This window comes from Homo sapiens, chromosome Y (genome assembly GCF_000001405.40).
Source record: "Homo sapiens chromosome Y, GRCh38.p14 Primary Assembly".
Taxonomy (NCBI): domain Eukaryota; kingdom Metazoa; phylum Chordata; class Mammalia; order Primates; family Hominidae; genus Homo; species Homo sapiens.
The window spans coordinates 18,980,499-19,000,824 of NC_000024.10; the positions used below are offsets into that span (position 1 = coordinate 18,980,499).

Genomic DNA, 20,326 nt, shown 5'->3' on the forward strand with positions numbered 1-20,326 from the left:
AGCGAATGCTTATACACTGTCGGTGAGAATATAAATTAGTACAACCTCTACGGAAAACAGTATGCAGATTTGTCAAAGAACTTAAAACAGAGCTAATTTTGACACAGCAACTCCACCACTGGCTATCTACCCAAACAAAAATGAACTATCATAGAAGGCACCTGTGGCCGGGAGCAGTGGGTCATGCTTATAATCCCAGCACTTTGATAGGTTGAGGCAGGTGGATCACTCAAGGTCAGGAGTTTGAGACAAGCCTGGCCAACATGACAAAAACCCATCTCTACTAACAATACAAAAATTAGCCGGGGATGATGGCAGATGCCTATAATTGCAGCAACTTGGGAGGCTGAGGCAGGATAATCGCTTGAACCCAGAGGGTGGAGGTTGCAGTGAGCTGAGATCATGCCACTTCACGATTTAGCAGCTTGTGTGAAAGAGCAAAATTCCATCAAAAAAAAAAAAAAAAGACACCTTCCTGTTTTATGTTTATTGCAGCACAATTCACAATAGCAAAATCATGGAATGAACCTTAGTGTTTACTGGATAAAGAAAATGTGGTATACACACACCAAGGAATATTATGCATTTATAAAAGAAAAATGAAACTGTATTTTGCACCAAGATAAATGCAGCTGCAGGCCAATATCCTACGTGAAAGAACTCAGAAACAGAAAATCAAATACCGTATGTTCCCACTTAAAAAGTGGAGCTAAACAATGGGTATTCATGTACCTATAAAATGGAATAACAGACCCTGGACACCTTAAAATGGGGAAAGGTGGGAGGGTGTGAGGGTTGAAAACTTACCTATCTGGTATTATGTTCACTGTTTGGGAGATAGATATACTAGAAGGCCAACACCCCTCACTAAGCAATATATCTTGCAACAAACCTGCAAACTTATGGCCTGAATCTTTTTTTTTTTTTTTAAGACAGAGTCTTGCTTTGTCACCAGGCTGGAGTGCAGTGGCACAATCTTGGCTCATTGCAATCTCCCCTTCCAGGGTTCAAGCGATTCTCCTGCCTCGGCCTCCTGAGTAGCTGGGATTACAGGTGTGTGCCACCACACCCAGCTAATTTTTCCATTTTTAGTAGAGGCAGGGTTTCACCATGTTGGCCAGGATGGTCTTGATCTCCCAACCTCGGGATCCATGCGCCTCAGCCTCCCAACGTGCTGGGTTACAGGTGTGAGCCACTGCGCCTGGCCAAATCTATTTGTTTTTTAAACACTGACTTCCATGGTCACTATTTGTCTGTGAAATCAATCCTCACAAACCAGTACTCACATGTTTTTTTGTTTATCAGATGAACTCTGTCACCCATACAACTCAGCTTGCAACCACCCCTGGCCACAACCAGTTTCCCCACACTGAGGTGAATGTTGGACATTACTATTTTAGACATTACCACCTATTCTGAAATTCCACATCAATTTATCTGAGAAACTCTGATGTTCTAGGGCAATTTAACTGGAAAAGATCAGCTGGAGTCATGCATCATTTCTTTGCTGTTTTTGGAGATGGAGTTTTGCTCTTGTCACCTAGGATGGAGTGCAATGGCTCAATCTTGGTTCACTGGAACCTCCGCCTCCCAGGTTCAAGCTACTCTCCTGCCTCAGCCTCCTGAGTAGGTGGGATTACAAATGTGCACCACCACACTTGGCTAATTTTTGTATTATTAGTAAAGATGGGGTTTCACCATGTTGGCCAGGCTGGTCTTGAACTCCTGATCTCAGGTGATCCACCCACTTCCGCTTCCCAAAGTAATGGGATTACAGGCTTGAGCCACCCCAACTGGCTGTGTCATTTCAATCAACAACTGTTTAAAAGGAACAGGCATCAAAACCAATAGTATCAAATTATTTATAAGGGTTGTATACTGGTTTCTCCAAGCATCTCTCCTTCACAACATCATTCCTTTCAAGAGCTGCTTCTTTTTTTCTAATTTAGCTCAGGAATTTAGAAGTTCCAACATAACGGGGCATCCAGTATTCACCCACACCACTTTTTGCAGGAATCCATATGGAGCCACTACCACCATCCCTGCTCTCCTACTGCATAACCCAACAGGCCAAAGTGCAGTGCTCACACCTGTAATCCGAGTGCTTTGCAAGGCCATAGAGGAAGATCACTTGAGGTTAGAAGCCTGAGACCAGCTTGGGCAACATAGTGAGACCTCATTTCTACAAAAAAGTGTAAAACAAAAGGGGACATGGTGGTGCATACCTGTAGTCCTAGCTATTCAGCAGGCTGAGGTAAGAAGATCACTTGAGTCCAGGAGATTTGAGGCTGAAGTGAGCTAGATTACGCCACTGCGCTCTAGTCTGGGCAGCAGAGAGAGACTCCATCTCTAAAAAGACAGATAAGAAGAAGGAGAAAGTGTAGGAGGAAAAAGAAACGAGAGGAGGGAAAGGGGGAGGAGGAGGAGGAATAAGATGAGGAAGAGGTGGAAGAGTAGAAGGGGGAGGAGAAGGAGGAGGAGGAGAATACTGCTTCTTCCTAGACCCAAAGTAAAAAGGATTTTAGTCTCATGTTGATGAGAAAGACACTGATATTTAATTAAGCAATATAAAAAGGATTGTTTTAGAACAGAGAATTAAAGAGAAAGTAAAATTAACATTGAGATAGGAGGACTGAAGACATCAACTGACTTCCAATCCCAATGAAGAGGAGAAAAAGATACAACTATATAGGTGGTATATCTACTTATCACAGAAGAAGCCTTTTGACAGCAAAATAGAATTCATACCTCTTAGGTTTTAAATTCCTATGGATGCTGTAGCAAATAACCATAATTGGGGTGGCTTAAAGTAACAGGTGTTTATTCTTTTCCAGTACTGGAAACAAGGAATCTGAGATCAAGGTGAGGGCTGGGCTGAGCTCCCCCTGGAAGCTCTAGGGGAGGATCTTTCCCGCCTCTTCCAGCTCTTGGTGGCTCCAGTCATGATTGCCCACTGCATTCCAAACTGGGAAACAGAGCAAGACCGCATCTCAAAAAATAATAGTAAATAAATAATTGTATACACACGAGAAAAAGAGAGAGAGAGGAGGGAGGCAGAGAGAGACAGTGTGTGTCAAACTTTGAGGCAAGGAAACTAACCCCACTCCTTGACTGCAGATTCAACCCACATTCAGAAAACAAGGTTAGAATTACCATAGGGGCTTGAACTTTGCTAAACAATAGGCATAAGTAATCAATGACCTGCCATCACTTAGCGTGTTTTCCTGTAAGTTGCTCACTGCACCAGAGTCATGTAACCAGGGATCACTAAAAGTATAATTTCCTGAACCACTCCTATAGATAACATTACTATTGTAAAACCCAAGAATGGTCTTTGAAACATTTTTCAGATCTAGCATTTTGACAGACCAAGAGATGCTACCTGGTCCTGAGATATCCTCTCCTGGGTCGGGCACAAAGAAAGTTTTAGACACTCCTTCGATTTCATCCCCAGCCAACCAATTGTTGCAAGTGTTGCAGTTCCCTAGCCTTCTGACCACCAAAGTACCTTCAAAAACCACAGTTTCCAACTTTTCAGGGAGACGGATTTGATAAATCTCTCCTATTCCCCTCACTTAGCTGCCCCTGCAATTATTAACCTCCTTCTTTGCTGCAACATCCGCTGTTAGCAGTGTGTTGGGTTTTCAGGGAGCAGCAGACAAGAAGAAACCCTCAGGCTGTAACACTCTCCTGCACGCCTTTCCATGGAATCATAAATGTCCTTTCTCTCCTACCATATTCTTTAAATATTTATGTCACAACATTTGGTTTAAGAAATCATCAGTGTTTCCATTATAATGATGATTTCAATGATATTCAAAGATCAACCAGTGACTACAATGATTATGTCTTCTTCTTTTTTTTTTCTTTTTCCTAGAGTTAGTAATTCCCTTTTTTTTTTTTTTTTTGAAACAAAATCTCACCCTTGCAATGGTGCAATCTCGGCTCACTGCAACCTCCACCTCTCAGGTTCAAGCAATTGTCCTGCTGCAGCCTCCTGAGCAGCTGGGAGTACAGGTGCCTACCACCATGCCCAGTTAATTTTTTTTTTTTTTTTGTATTTTTAGTAGAGACGGGGTTTCACCGTGTTGGCTAGCCTGGTCTCGAACTTCGGACTTCAGGTGATCCGTCTGCCTCAGCCTCTCAAATTACTGAGATTACAGGCATGAGCCATCACACCTGGTCTTCTTCTGTATCACTTAAAAAGAAAACAGTCATAATCCACTAAGCTGATTTCATGACCAATTAAGAGATAACAAGAGCTGGGATTACAGGTGTGAGCCACCACAATCATCCTAGTTTTTGTATCTTGAATACAGATGGAGATTCATCAGGTTGGCTAGGCTGGTGACCTCAAACTCCTGACCTTAAGTGATCCTCCTGCCTTGGACTCCCAAAGTGCCAGGATTACAGGAATGAGCCACTAAACCCAGCCTGTGTCTGGTCAGAAAGGTCTTAAAAACACCACCTTAGTACAGACACTCTACATAAACTTTCATATGTAAGATGTAATTTAGAAAAAATGTCCATAATGGATTTATGATGAAAGCAAAATTGTGGACATGTTGATAAACACAATGTTTCTTTGTTCTTTGTTTTCTTTGTGTATGTAAAGAATTAGAAGCCATTTGTGTCAAGGTAACTTCTGGAGAAACAAAAGGTCAGGAAAGGACAATGACCCTACTGGTCACAAACCAGCCCCAATACAAGACAGAGACAGCCGCACAGGGGAATTCCTGCCTGGTGGGGCTCCTATCTTCAGCCCTCAGCTACTCAGGGTATGGCTCCTAGTGAGAACCGAGCCACATTCGTGGTTCCTAAGTGACCTATGTCAGCATCCTGCTTAGGTATTTGTACAGGGACTACTGCCAGCCTTCCAGACAGTCCCTACAAAGAGTCCGGCCCCCAAGGCTCCAACTGGACATGGCTCCATATTGACCCCTTTTTTGTCCTCCAACCCACTGGCAGTAGCATCTTTTTCAATCAGTTCAGTACATTTATTTCCAACTTGCACACAAAACATACTGAAAAACTAAAAAAAAAAAAAAAATCATTAAAAGTAGACCCTTCAAGACAAATATCTCTACCTCCCAAATACAAAGCTAAAAACAGAGGATTTGGTGGATGGTCATCTGTCAGATTCTGATGATTATTCAGAATTCAGTGTGGAAGATGACAAAGATCAGAGGTAAAAGCAGGCACTCTGACTTAAGGTGCTGTTCCTGAGGCCCAAAAGTGTTTGTCAGACTTGTGCAAAGTCATGTATGGAAGTTGGAGACGGGCTCATCATTTTAAACTTAATCCAGGCCATGGCCAGGTGGACCCCGAGATGAGTCCACTCTGAGGCTGCAGCTCAGGCTGCCTGTGCCCCATACTTCCCACAGATGCAGGGTCACTGCACCCTTCCAAAGCTGACAGTGCAGCCCATGCTCATAGCCTTTCTGCCTTCCCTTCCCGCCCTGTCCTGGGAGTTCACCCAAGCCCTCTGTGGCCCCCACCCAAGGCGTGTTTCTTGGTCTGCTCCTCCCATGCCCATTCTGGCTTCCCTGTACCATGCGGGGCAAACAATAGGTGCTCACTGGGGAGTGAAGGAAATGCCCATCACTTAGTGGCTGCTGAGGGGCTGAGAACTGAAACTTTGTTTAGGTTTTCTTCTGTATTTTCCATCAGTGCCTTTGGTTTAAACTTTTTAGTAAAATCTTTATTTTCATGAAGGTTGAAAGATCATCTAGCAAAACCTTTTTTCCCAGCTATATATAAGGTATTTTAAAAGCAGCATAAAATAGTTAAGAAAATGTGCCAAGATTACCTCAGTACTTCTGGTCTGTGTTCTCAGAAGATCCTGAAAATGACCAATGATAAGGTAATGATCTCCCATGGCAGAAAGAGTTTTGCTCAGAGAGTTAGCCAAAAGAAAGAAGGGCCAGGTATAGTGGCTTATGCTTGTAATATAGCACTTTGGGAGGCCAAAGTGGCCACATGGATCACATAAGGTCAAGAGTTCCAGGTCAGCGTGGCCAACATGGCAAAACCCTGTCTCTACGAAAAACACAAAAGTTAGCTGGGCATGGTGGCACGTCTCTAGTCCTAGCTACCTGGGAGGCTAAGGCAGGAAAATCGCTGGAACCCAGGAGGTGGATGTTGCAGTGAGCCAAGTTTGCACCACTGCACTCCAGCCTGAACGAGCCTGGACTGAGACCATCTCAAAAAAAAAAAAAAAAAAAAAAAAAAAAAAGAAAGAAAGAAAGAAAAAAAGTCCATTAATGAAGAAGGATGTTTTTTACTAATGACATTTTACTAGCCAACGTCGTTTTAGCCTTTTCCCATTAAGTGAATTTTTTTTTTCTCTATTGCCTAGGCTAGAGTGCAGTGGTGCTATCTTGGGGCTCACTGAAGCCTCCAACTCCTGGGTTCAAGTGATTCTCCTGCCTCAGCCTCCTGAGTAGCTGGTACTATAGGTACCTGCCACCATGCCCAGCTAATAATTTTTGTATTTTTAGTAGAGATAGGGTTTCACCATGTTGGCCAGGATGGTCTAGATCTGTTGACCTCATGATCTACCCATCTGGGTCTCCCAAAGTGCTGAGATTACAGGGGTGAGCTACAGAGTCCAGCCATTTTTTTTTCTTAGTGCAATAAATGATCCTCCAGAAAACTAAAAAATGAAGATAAGCTAAAAGAAAATGGAAAGAACCATAATCCTCCCACTCACTGATGATCACAGTTAATATCTCAGGTGTCATTTTTTTTCTTTATTTTTATTTTGAGACAGAGTTTCATTCTGTCTCCCAGGTGGAGTGCAGTGGTGCAATCACAGCTCACCGCAGTCTTGACTTCCTCGTTCCAAATAATCCTCTCACATAAGTCTCCTGAGTAGTTCAGAATATAGGCGTGTGCCACCATGCCCAGCCAACTTTAATTTTTTGTAGGGATGGGGTCTCACTATGTCATCTGGTCTGGTCTTCAACTCTTGGGCTCAAGTTACCCTCCCTTCTCAGCTTCCCACAGTGTTGGAATTATAGGCATGAACCACCATGTCCAGCCCTGTTTTCTTCTTTATGTGGGTTTCTGGGGATAGGTTACATAGGGGCTATTCATTATTGTTTGTGGTTTTTCTGACACAATTCTCATTTAAACATCATTGTTATTATCAAATTGGCTTTAGCTACATTGGATTTTTTGGGGTGATTTTTTTAGGTTTTTTTTTTTTTTTTTTTTTTTTTTTGAAACAGTCTTGCTCTGTCGCCCAGGCTGGAGTACAGTAAGCCCTTGAACAACATAGGTTGGAACTGTGTAGGTCCTCTTACATATGAATTTTCTTCAATAAATATATTAGAAAACTTTTTGGGAATTTGTTGACAATTTGAAAAAACCTGAAGATGAACCACATAGCCTAGAAATATTTTTTTGAATATTTAAAGGTTGGTGTAACATGAGAGCATAAAATATATGTAGAAGTCATCTGTCACTACTATAAAATATACATAGATCTATAAACTTATACATAAATATATAAATACATATATCATAAAATTATAAAAAGCTAAAAGTAAAATAAACACACACACACAGACAGTACATGCCATCTTCTGCAGTCCAGAGAAATGCAAACAATCATGAAGATGACATATTAATTCCTAACTGTATCAAACTAATTGTAGTACGTTCTGTGCTACTGGAATAATGGCATAGCCATCTCCTGTTGTGAGATGCAAGGGTCCACTGAAAATGCCATGTGGAACTAATGATCTCTGTGTGAGCAGTTCTCCGCTCCAAGACACTGTGAAGCACAGTAACAAGTGCTTGCTTATGGTGCTCACATATTTTGCATTGTGTTTAGTGCAATACCATGATGTGAACATTGAATAACACCATGCGACCCATAAGAAGTGCCTCTGATGATGCTGGAAATGCTCCCAAGAAGTACACAAAAGTCATGATGTTAGAAGAAAAAGCTAAATGCTTAGTATGTGTGGTAGATTGAAGTCTGCAGCTTGTAGCTGCCCATGATTTCAGACAGACAATTCACCTTGTAAACAGATGATTTCCACTTGTGCTATCAATAAATACAGTATAAGCATATTATATCTAATGTATGATTTTCTTAATAATCTTTTCATAAGCTAACTTTAAGGATACAGTATGTAATATATATGACACATAAAATATGTGTTAATCAAATGTCTGTTATCAGTAAGGCTTGCAGTAAGTAGTAGGCTATTAATAATTAATTCTGTAGGAAGTTAAAAGTTTATATAAAGATGTCTGACTGCATGCGGGATGTTGCCCTTGATTGCTATTTTGTACAATATAAAGGGTGGGTGAGGGAAACAAGTCTATTCAACGACAAAAAGGTCTTTTCAAGGACAAGACCAGTTGAAAGCTATGAAATTACTATTCTTAGAAGGACTGATCCTTTATTGTAATTATCAGCAAAATGAGGGAATAGAGGTAATAGTCTTCATTTATTAGTTGGATACTGAATAAATTTGGATTAGACAGAATCTGTTGTCCCTGTAAAGAAAGATGAACTGGTGAAGGAAAGACAGTTGGATCAGAAATTAAAGGACAGTGGAAAAGTTTGAAAGCACTGCCATCAGTAAGAAGAACCACAGTTGATTATACCTTATAACAAGGATTACAGGGAACACTGAGAACCAAGCTGAAACTGGTAACCATCAATTCAATTAGTATTTCCCATCCCTGACCTGCATTCTGAGGGATGTAGAATAATTCATTTTCCACACTTACTTTTTTAAAATTTCAGCAATCATATGTTTCTTAGAGTTATGTTACACCTGACTTTTTTCATAGCTTCTGTTTTTATTTAGGTTGCTAGTAACATCCTCTCAGATTTCTTTAAATATATTAGGTATGTGAATTTATTCTGTCCTGTTCCTGAACACCTCAGTCTCGCCTGCTCTGGCTCAGCTTTTACATTTGTGTTGGTCATTGTCTTTACTGTTGATTCTACACATGCATTCCAATGATCCTTTCAGAAAAGGGGCAGCATAGCTGAAGGGTTTCCTCATGTTTTCTGCACAGAACTCTTGTCTGCCATATTTTTCTTAAGAAGGGCTGGAGAGTGGTATGTCATGGTCTATCGCTTAAAAAAAACAAACTCACACCAAGACCAATGGAGCAGAACAGAGCCCTCAGAAATAATGCCACACATCTACAACCATCTGATCTTTGACAAACCTGACAAAAATAAGCAATAGGGAAATGACTCTCTATTTAATAAATGGTGTTGGGGAAACTGGCTAGCCATATGTAGAATGCTGAACCTGGATCCCTTCCTTACACTTTATACAAAAATTTAATCAAGATGGATTAAAGACTTAAATATAAGACCTAAAACCATAAAAACCCTAGAAAAAAACCTAGGCAATACCATTCAGGACATTTGTATGGGCAAAGACTTCATGACTAAAACACCAAAAGCAATGGCAACAAAAGCCAAAATAAATAAATGGGATCTGATTAAACTAAAGAGCTTCTTCACAGCAAAAGAAACTGATTATCAGAGTGAGTAGGCAACCTACAGAATGGAAGAAAATTTTTGTAATCTATCCATCTGACAAAGGGCTAATATCCAGAATCCACAAAGAACTTAAACAGATTTACAAGGAAAAAACAACCCCATCAGAAAGTGGGCGAAAGATATGAACAGACACTTCACAAAAGAAGATATTTATGTGGCCAACAAACATATGAAAAAAAGCTCATCATCACTGGTCATTAGAGAAATGAAATCAAAACCATAATGAGATACCATCTTATGCCAGTTAGAATGGCGATCATGAAAAAGAGAACAACAGATGCTGGACATGATGTGGAGAAATAGGAATGCTTTTACACTGTTGGTGGGAGTGTGAATTAGTTCAATCATTGTGGAAGACAGTGTGACGATTCCTCAAGGATCCACAACTAGAAATACCATTTGACCCAGCAATCCCATTACTGGGTATATACCCAAAGGAATATAAATCATTCTACTATAAAGACACGTGCACATGTATATTTATTGCAGCACTGTTCACAATAGCAAAGACTTGGAACCAACCCAAATGCCCATCAATGATATACTGGATAAAGTAAATTTGGGACATATGCAACACAGAATTCTTTTTTTTTTTTTTCTTTCAGCCATTTCTTTTTATTTACAGTTTGTGTTCAATGCAAATCAATTCCATAAGAAGTTACTATGAATCAAAGCGTAAATACACAAACACAATATACAATCCAAAATAGATGTACAGCATTCTGGAATAAAGCAAAAGAGTGTTCATTCACACACACAGTAGCTTCAAAACGGTTCGATCTGTTTGTTCTCATGTAGTTTTGTAAAGATGGAAAAAAAGGACTTTGGTCATCAAGACTACTGTGGCCATATTAGATTACTGGAACATCTAAGCATCAGTGTGTGACCATGCGAACAAAAGACTTCGGGGAGTGTCTATTTTTAAAAAGGTTTCTGTGTTTCGAGGCAGTTGTAAAAGATTTACTGCAGAATCAAGCCCACTTTTAGGCTTAGGACCAGGTTCTAACTATCTAAAAATATTGACTGATAACAAAAAGTATTCCAAATGTGGCTATTCTGATCCATAGTTGTTTTTTAAAGAAAAAAAAGTATATACAGAAAGAGTATAAAAGTTTGTGAATTTAATGCAAATTAGCTTCCAGTCTTCACTTCCCAAATACTTGATTTGTAGTTTTGACTCCTTTACATTTTTGCCTTCTTAATTTCAAGATTTGCAATTTTGCCTTCAAAACAGATCTTTTTTTTTAATTGTAAAAAGTATTCAACATATGCAGAAATAAAAAGCATTTTGATGGCTGGGCGCGGGGGCTCAAGCCTGTAATCCCAGCACTTTGGGAGGCCGAGGCAGGTGGATCACCTGAGGTCAGGAGTTCGAAACCAGCCTGGGCAACATGGTGAAACCCTGTCTCTACTAAAATTACAAAAATTAGCCGGGCATGGTGGCAGGTGCCTGTAATCCCAGCTACTTGGGAGGCTGAGGCAGGAGAATCGCTTGAGCCCGGGAGGCAAATGGTACACTGATCTGAGATCACACCACTGCACTCCAGCCTGGGCGACAAAGTGAGACTGTCTAAAAAATAATAATAATAAAAAGCATTTTGAAATTAGTCGCGGTCAATGCAATTCTACTCTTTGGAATCCGTTTAGCTAAATGAATGTAGTGCTCTTGTTGAATGGAAATAGGTGATAGGAAATGCCTACCATTTGACTCAATATGGATAATCAAGAGTTGCTCAGGCTGCTTGGATCTGGGGGTAGATTCTCATTCATCATTGCCCTGGCACATGTCAATTACTACATAAAAGGTCAAACGCAATGTCAAATCCAAAGCCTCAGGAGGAAAGTGAGTTCAGTTCCCAAGAGAACAGCAATAGCTCAACAATGTAAAACTTCATCTAGAGTATATCGGCATTAAATAAGTGCTGCCGAAACAATACGTTGAGGAATTACAGTAACACCTGGAAGTTCCTTCTCATGTACATATAAATAGAATCATGGAAGCTTTTTATATTACCTGTTTTATGGCCTTATAGAATTAATGAACCAAATGAAAACTGAATCTCCATTCCACAATCACATCCTTTATTTCTATTCTTATTTTCAAGGTAGTATTAAGTGTCCATATTTCTCAAGCCACATTCAAGGAAATCATGTCTTAACTATTTTGGATGTTGCCTCTCCTTCATCTTGTACATGAAACTCCAGCAGATTTAATATTGGCATCCATCATCTAGTCAAACCTCTCACATGTTCTTCAAATCAATCAAATTTGGGATTCTCAACATTTTCTGTGTCAATAAAAGGTGTGGAATTAGTAGATTCGATGAAGACCTGTTTTTCCTTGCCACATTGGACTTCCAGACGCCATTTGGATTGGGTTTAGAAGATGGGGAAGTTTAGAAGACGTTTCTTGGCCTGAGTCTCTTAAGAGTAGAGATGCAGAAGAGAGAGTGAGACCACGAAGAGACTGGCTGTTGACTGCAGGGCACCACCAGCCGCCTTGGTGGTGGCATTAGTTGGATTTGGGGCCAACCCAGTGTTGGAAGTACTCTGGGAGGAGTTACTTGAAGTTCCAGTTGTTGTTTCACTGGAATAAATCTGCGTGGGTAGGAGCAGTGCCAGCAGCAGCAGCCCCAGCCCAAGCCTGGCCACCATTGCTCTGCCCATGTCCCCTACGTCGGTGCGCGGCGCGTCTAGCAGGATGCTGGGTGCTTGGAGAACCGCTGGCTCCGGGCGGGCGCAGGCAAGGTGGGGAGCGCGGCGAGCCGGCGAGACCCTGGCCGACGGGACCCGGGCGCCGCCTAGCGCGAACCCTTCCCGGCTGGTCGGCGCTCCTCGCAGGCGGTGTCCCGGTCCGGAGCGATCTGCGCGCTCGGCCCCGCGGCCGCGCCCTCCCCGAAGCCCTTGCTTTGTTCTGTGAGCGCCTCGTGTCAGCCAGGCGCAGTGAGCTCACGGGGGCGTCCCGGGTCCGCATCCTCCCAGGAGCTGGGGAGCCGCTCGCTGGGCGCGGACCCGCTGCCTGACGCTGCAAACTACACGGTTTCGGTCCCCCGCGCTCCTGCCTGCGGCGGGCGAGGAGGAGACGGCCCACCCTAAGGGGACCCCCTCCGCGGCCCTGAAGCCCCCACCCGCAACACAGAATTCTATGCAGCCATAAAAAAAGGATGAGTTCATGTCCTTTGCAGGGACATAGACGACACTGGAAACCATCATTCTCAGCAAACTAAGGCAAGAACGGAAAACCAAACACCTCATGTTCTCACTCATAAGTGGGAGTTGAACAATGAGAACACATAGACACACGGAGGAGAACATCACACACCAGGCACTGTTTGGGGGTGCGGGGGTAGGGGAGGGATAGCATTAGGAAAAATACCTAATGTAGATGACGGGTTGATGAGTGCAGCAAACCACCACGGCACATGAATACCTATGTAACAAACATGCACGTTCTGCACATCTACCCCAGAACTTAAAATATTTTTTAAAAATCTGTAAACAGAAGAGTCAGTCATCTAAAACTGATAAGTCTTCTTTCATTTCTAGAAGACATACTATTTTTCTGTTGATATTTCATTTATTTTCTATTTTAATGTATGTGAGTCATTAACATAAAGGTTTGTAAACTGCTTAGAGCTCGTTCAAGAATGCATGTGAAATAATTGATGCAAGTCAGGGCATGGTAGCTTATGCCTGTAATCCCAGCACTTTGGGAGGCTGAGGCCGGCATATCACCAGGTGAAGAGATCAAGACCATCCTGGCCAACATGGTGAAACCCTGTCCCTACTAAAAATACAAAAATTAACTGGGCATGGTGGTGCACGCCTGTAGTCCCAGCTATTTGGGAGGCTGAGGCAGGAGAATCATTGAACCTGGGAAGTGGAGGTTGCAGTGAGTTAAGATCATGCCACTGCACTCCAGCCTAGTGACAGAGTGAGACTCCATCTGAAAAAATAGTAATAATAATTGATGCTAATAAAACTAGTAATTTTAACAGCAATTCTAAGGGGCATCCTGTTCTCAGGGCAGCACAATCCTCTGAGAACTCCCCAAATGGTTTAGTGCACTCCACTCAGCAGAAGCACGGGTGAATCAGACACTCAACGAAAATGAAGCAATGGCTCAGCAGAGACCATCCACGTTTCTTCTCATTTCCTATGAAAAATACAAATTTGGAGCTTTAGATGGGTGGGTGGCTTCCCACCTAAAGAATGAACTCCTAAACCTTCTTTGCAGCTGTTTAGGATCAGGTGACTGATTATGGCCAGCAGAAGATAAGAAGGGACATGTGTTCCTTTGGGTCCAATTACTTACTGGGCCCTTGCTTCCCCTCCCCTGTGGGCCACTGTGGAGGTGGGGCAGTTACTGGGACCCAGCCTGCAAACTTACATATGAGGGATGACAAAGCTGCCCTTGTACCACCAACCTGGTCTATTGGTGAGGGTGAAAAACTCTTTCAATTTAAGGTGTATCAGTCACATTTCAGTACAGGAAACAGATGCCATCTTAGACCATGTAGCAGAAAGTGACTTCAAACACAGAATGAGATGTTTCTAAAATCAGAGGAAAAGATAAAGTTCATGACTGAAGATCCAAAATTACTCTCCAAAATATTGGTCCTTAGAAGACCCAGGACAAGGATCACATCTGACACACATGGTTTGGAGAACACCATGCACACAGTGCCTCCCATCCAAGCCCTGAAGCTAGAGAGCAGCAGCAGGAGCTTAGACCTCCCCAAGCATACCTGCCCACAGAAAACACACAAGCAAAAAGATACTTCCTCCTCACTACCACCTTACAAGCTCTGTGAAAGTACGTTCAATGTTAAAGCAAATTCACATGGCTTTAAAGAGACTGTGAAAGATATCCGCAGGTCAGCTTTTTCTCTCTCTCTTTCTGTTTTTTTTTTTTTTTTTTTGAGATGGAGTCTCATTCTTCACCCAGGCTGGAGTGCAGTAGCGGGATCTCGAGTCACTGCAACCTTCTCCTCTGGAGTTCAAGTGATTCTTGTGCCTCGGCCTCCTGAGTAGCTGGGATTACAGGGGTGTAGCACCATGCCTGGCTAATTTTTGTACTTTTAGTAGAAATGGGGTTTCACCATGTTGCCCAGGCTGGTCTGGAAATCCTGACCTCAAGCAATCCACCTGCCTCAGCTTTTCTAAAGAAGAGCAGCTTCAGAAAGGGTGGACTAATGGTTGACCATACTAATTTACCGCACTGCAAGTGTTACTGTAGCTCAAACTGTGTATTAACTATTAACAGCGAAATTCATTTTCAACACAAGCTAGTTTACACAAAAAGAAATATTCTCTAATAACCTGATAATTATGAAACTTCTAGTAGAATGTCTGATATGTACTCAGATGATTCCAGGAATAGGGTGAGTTTGAGAATGTAAATATTACATTGTCATGGTAATTTTCAAAACATGAAATTTTCATACATCAAACTACTTTTGATACATTAAAATTAAGAACAGGTTGGCAAGAAGCTCATTTCTATACACACATCAGCATTTACAGGAATGCATTTCATCTAGTATAGTCAACATCAGATGACTGAATAAAGACACAATAAGGAGAATGTCATTTGAAGCTTTTCATGGTAACTTAAAAATCATTCTGAAGTTTTCAATAATATAGGAAAGCCTCTGCTGTGAGGTCGAGGGCAACAACTTGGTCGCATTACTTAAAGGTCATTAAAATACATCCTTAATCCTAACATGTGGTTCATTACAAATGAAGTTGCTTTATGTTCAATAAAACTAATTAAATGTAAGTGGTATTGTTTACTGCTACATGAAGCTTTTGAAATATGACATGAAATAAAGCATGTCATGATTTATTGAATATTGCTGTGGCCTTGTGGTCTTTAATAAATTTGCTTGAGCATAAAAGCCAGAAACATATTTCTCAGATGTCTATGGTTTCTGAAAACTGCGCCTCCAGACAGCTATGAAGCAGAAACTGTACCTGGCATTACAGGATCTGCAGCACTATTATTACATGACTCTTACAAATTTTAATTCTCTGACCATATTAGGTGCTCTGATAATCCAACAGAATTGATAAAGTTTCTTGGCTGCTTCCTCAGCTCTTCAAGATGGGCTCTCAGGTCTCTAAGTTTACTTAACCTGGCTCACACCACGGACACAGTCTTAAGTGACACAACTGGGGATACACAAAATAGGCTCATGGCCTGATAAACCAAACAGGCTCATGACCTGGACGGTCCATTTGACCCAGAGGCTGCGGGTAATTAGTGTATGGTTAATGTGGCATTTGTAAGCCAGGAACAAGGAGACATAAAGGGTAAACTTCAGAAGTTAGAATGTTTTGAAGGCATGAATATTACCCAGCTTATCCTGTCCTGGTGGCTACTAAGGTGTTTGTAAATCAGGATGAGGAGGCCAGGAGCAAAGCTAAATGCAGAGCTAAGGAAAAGGCAGACTGGCTGGAGACAGCCTTAGTTGGACAAGAAACGGGTTTTGTGAGAAGACATGGTCATGGTCAGAGTAGAGGACAAGCTAGGCAAAACCAAGAAGCTAAGCCAGGACAAGGGTGCCAACCTAAGCTTGAGAGAGATCAATGTTCAAGATGCACGCAGATGGGACACTGTAAGAACGAATGCCCAGAAAGAGAAAAGGAAAGAGGCAACAATCAGGGAAAAAACGGCTGGCCAGAACCCACCGCCACTGGTCAAGGGGTTCAGAAGTCAGACATGGATTTAATTGGACTGGCAGGAATCAATGATTATTATGAGGACTGAGATAGACCAGGCTCCATTTCATTAGGCCCGGAGGAGCCTATGGTCTCAATGGAGGTAGGGGGCCAGAAAATGGACTTTATGGTTGATACTGGTGCAGAGCACTCAGTAGTAACTCAAGCAATTGGTTCACTGTCTAAAAATTATTTCAATATAATTGGAGCTACAGGAATAATAGAAAGAGGCCTTACTTCAAATCTAAAAGATGTGTGATTGGAGGACAGCAAGTCCAACATGATTTTTTATATTTGCCAAATTGTCTGGTCCTCTGTTAGGAAGATAATTGCTCCAGAAATTGCAAGCACAAATCTCCTTTACTTGAGAAGGGGAAATGACTCTAAACCTAGGTCAAAGAAGACATGATAATGACCCTTACCATCCCCACAACAGAGGAATGGAGACTCTATGAGAGGTGCAAAATTTGTAAAGATGCATTTTGCCAGCAGGAAAATGAGGCAATGTATAAGGAATTGTTTCTCAACCTGGCAGGGGTCTGGGTGGAGGACAGTCTCCCAGAGCTAGCCATAAATCAGGCCCCCGTAGTGGTGGAACTGCTGCGAGACACTTACCCAGTGCAAATTCGTCAGTATTCCATCCCAGTAAAAGCCACCCATGGGATTACAAAGCATATAGTCCGGCTCTTTAAATTTGGGATAATAGAAAGATGTGCCTCTCCTTGGAACACTCCATTGTTACTGGTGTTAAAGCCCATAGGAGATTACTGGCTGGCACAGGATTTGCAGGCCATACATAAGGTTGCAGCTACATTATATGCCATTGTGCCCAACCCATACACAATGCTTGGGTGAATTCCTGCTGATGTTGCTTGGTTTACATGCTTAATGTTTGGATGCATTCTTCTGCATCCAACTGGCTCCTGAAAGCCAGGGCATCTTTGCCTTTGAGTGGAGCTCATCACAGTATACTTGGACCAAACTCCCCCAAGGATTTAAAAACTCCCCAACCATTTTTGAGGAAGCACTAGCCTCAGACCTGAAGGCTTTCATGCCACCAAGTGGCCACTGTGTACTGTTGCAGTACATAGATGATTTATGCACCCACAAAAGAAGAGTGCTTTCAAGGCACAGAAGCCTCCTTCATGTTCTATGGGAGGCTGGCTATAAGATGTCTAAGGAAAAGGCACAAATCTGTGGCCAAAGAGCAAATTATCTTGGCTTCGACATTTCTAAAAGGCAGTGTTAAGGGGGGATGTGAGAGAAAAGAGACTGTGCATGGCATTCTTCGACCTGACTCTAGACAACAAGTGAGGGACTTTATAGAGGCAGCTGGCTTCTGTCACATTTGAATTCCAAATTACTTGTTCTTGGCAAGTGTGAGGCTTGCATTGTGTGAGGCTACCAAAGGGTGGGGTAAAAGAACCCCTCTGGTAGGGAAAAGAGCAGCACATGGCCTTCAAAGAAATCAGAAAGCCTTGATCCAGTCCCCAGCATTAGGACTGCCAGACATGACAAAGCCTTTTTACCTGTATGTCCATAAAAGAAAAGGAATAGCTACAGGAGCCTTGGTACAAACACTAGGGTCATGGTATCGGCCCATGACATATTTGCCCAAGTGACTAGACTTCGTGGCTATGGGATGGCCACTCGGTTTCAAGGCATTGGCAGCCACTGCCCTGTTGGCAGAAAATGCTAACAAGCTCACGTTTGGACAAAGGTTGATAATTCAGGTACCCCATACAGTCATCACCCTGATGGAGCAGAATGGGCATCGCTGGCTTTCTAACCCTCAGATGTGAAGGACTTTTATGTAAAAACCCCTACATAACCTTGGAGACTGTGAATACTGTAAATCCAGCCACACTGCTGCCAAAAGAATAGGCAGAACATGGAAAGCCACCGTTATGTGGCCCAGAGTATCACTGTTGTGTGGAAACAGTGGATGAAGTTTTCTCAAACTTAAAAGACTTAAAGGAGCTGCCCTTACAAAATCCAGATGTTGAATTCTGATGGAAGCAGCTTCATATCTGAAGGTGTCAGACCGGCTGGACATGCAGTGGTAACACTGAATTCAGTAGCCGAAGTCTGCCCTCTGACGGTCGGATCTTCGGCCCAAAGAGCTGAGCTAATAGTTCTCACTAGAGCTAATACTTCTCACTAGAGCATTGCTCTTGGCCAGAGGAAAATCAGTAAACATCTATAATGACTTAAGGTATGCTTTTGCCACTTTGCATGCCCATGGAGCCATATATAAGGAAAGAGGATTATTAGCTACTGAAGGAAAGGAAATCAAAAATAAAAAGAAAGTACAGCAGCTCTCAGAAGCCATATGGGCTCCAAAAGAAGTAGCAGTCATCCATCGCAAAGGGCATCAAACAGGAGGAGGTGATGAGGCTAGAGGAAACAGAAAGGGGGACAGAGAAGCCAAAGGAGCTGCAATGACAGAGGTAACTAAGATGGAAGAGGAAACCCTTACCATGCCTTTACTGGAGCTTTCCCTTATGGAACCCCCTAAGTACTCCTTTAATGAAAAGGCTTCGTTTGAGCAGGAGAGTGTAAGTTACCAGAAAGGAGGTTGTCAGAAATTCTCAGATGGGAGGTTTACCATACCAGAAGTAATACCCCCCGGTTCATAAAGCAGTTTCATCACGGAATGCATGTGAGAAAAACTGCATTAGAGACTCTTGCAGGACAGCCTTTCTATGTGCCACGCCTAACTGCCATCACTAGAGCCATTTGTGAGCAATGTTTAACTTGTGCCCAAAACAATCCACAGCAGGCCAACAAGGCCCCCAGGGATTCAAGAAACTGGAGCTACACCCTGTGAAAACCTCTTTGTGTACTTTACCAAGCTGCCTCAAGCCAGAGGCTACCGGTATATGCTAGTGTTTGTCTGCAGTTTCTCAGGGTGGGTCGAGACATTTCTCACTAGGACAGGGAAAACTCGGGAAGTAACGAAGATCTTATTAAAGGACATTATTCCTAGATTTAGGCTGCCTCTAATTTCAGGATCAGACAGTGGTCCAGCACTTGTGGCAGAGATAGTACAATAGCTAACACAGATGTTAAAAACCAAATGGAATCTGCATATAGCTTATCACCCACAAAATTCTGGAAAAGGTGAAAGAATTAACTGGACACTTAAACAGCTGTTAAAGAAGTTTTGCCAAGAAACTCATCTAAGATGGGATCAGGTGCTGCCCATGTTCCTTCTCCAAGTCAGGCGCACCCCTACTAAATTAACTGGGTATTCACCCTATGAGATAGTGTTCGGCCAACCACCCCCAATCATAACTCAGTTAAAAGGGGATTTAAAAGAAATTGGGAAATTAACCTTAAGAAGATAAATGCAAGCCTTAGGTGAGGACATGCAGGAAACAGAAGGGTGAGTAAGAGAAAGAATACCTCTTAGCCTCAGAGATGCAATACATCCCTTCCAACCGACTCTGTCTGCATCAAATGATGGAACCCAGCCATCTTCGAGCCTTTATGGGATGGTCCCCATACTGTGACCTTATCTACCCCCACTGCTGTTAAAGTTGCAGGTATCACACCTCGGGTTCATCATAGCCAGCTGAAACCAGCAGTGACCGCAACTCAGGACCAGTGGCCCAGTCAACAAAACCCAGACCACCTGACATGGATGATCCTGAGGTGAAACTAAGCCACTGCTGACAAGGACAACTGCCCTACGCTGACCACACCAGAGGCTGGTTGGTCCACACACGGCTGAACCTTAAGGAAACATCAAGCCATGCTCTTGTCACACATCCAGAAGCTGGCTAGTCTACGCATGGCCGAAGCCTGAGGAAGTCAACAACACAAAAGTAAATGTGGATTTAATTTACAAGCATACTGGATTGAATTTACAAGCATAGTTAATACTCGTACCTGTACTGATTATTTTACTGTCATGTTATCTTTGCAAATGCTGCCAAGGTTGTTACCCAGAAGGGTGCTCACGCATAGTATAAGTTTAATCATGTTAGTAATATTGAAGCCACTGACACTTGCACCTATGGTTACAAAAGGGGACCAAGATGACTGTCATCACTG

At 42.4% G+C, this 20,326-nt stretch overlaps 1 long non-coding RNA gene and 2 pseudogenes across 8 annotated transcripts in view; 1 reads left to right on the forward strand and 2 right to left on the reverse strand.

Annotated features, from left to right (window-relative positions):
- The window catches only part of TTTY14 (testis expressed transcript, Y-linked 14), a 205,047-nt gene that overhangs the window by 107,998 nt on the left and 76,723 nt on the right, over positions 1-20,326 (reverse strand). The window lies entirely within an intron of this gene.
- On the forward strand, positions 4,616-5,865 carry ZNF839P1 (zinc finger protein 839 pseudogene 1; annotated as a pseudogene).
- On the reverse strand, positions 10,142-12,320 carry CD24P4 (CD24 molecule pseudogene 4; annotated as a pseudogene).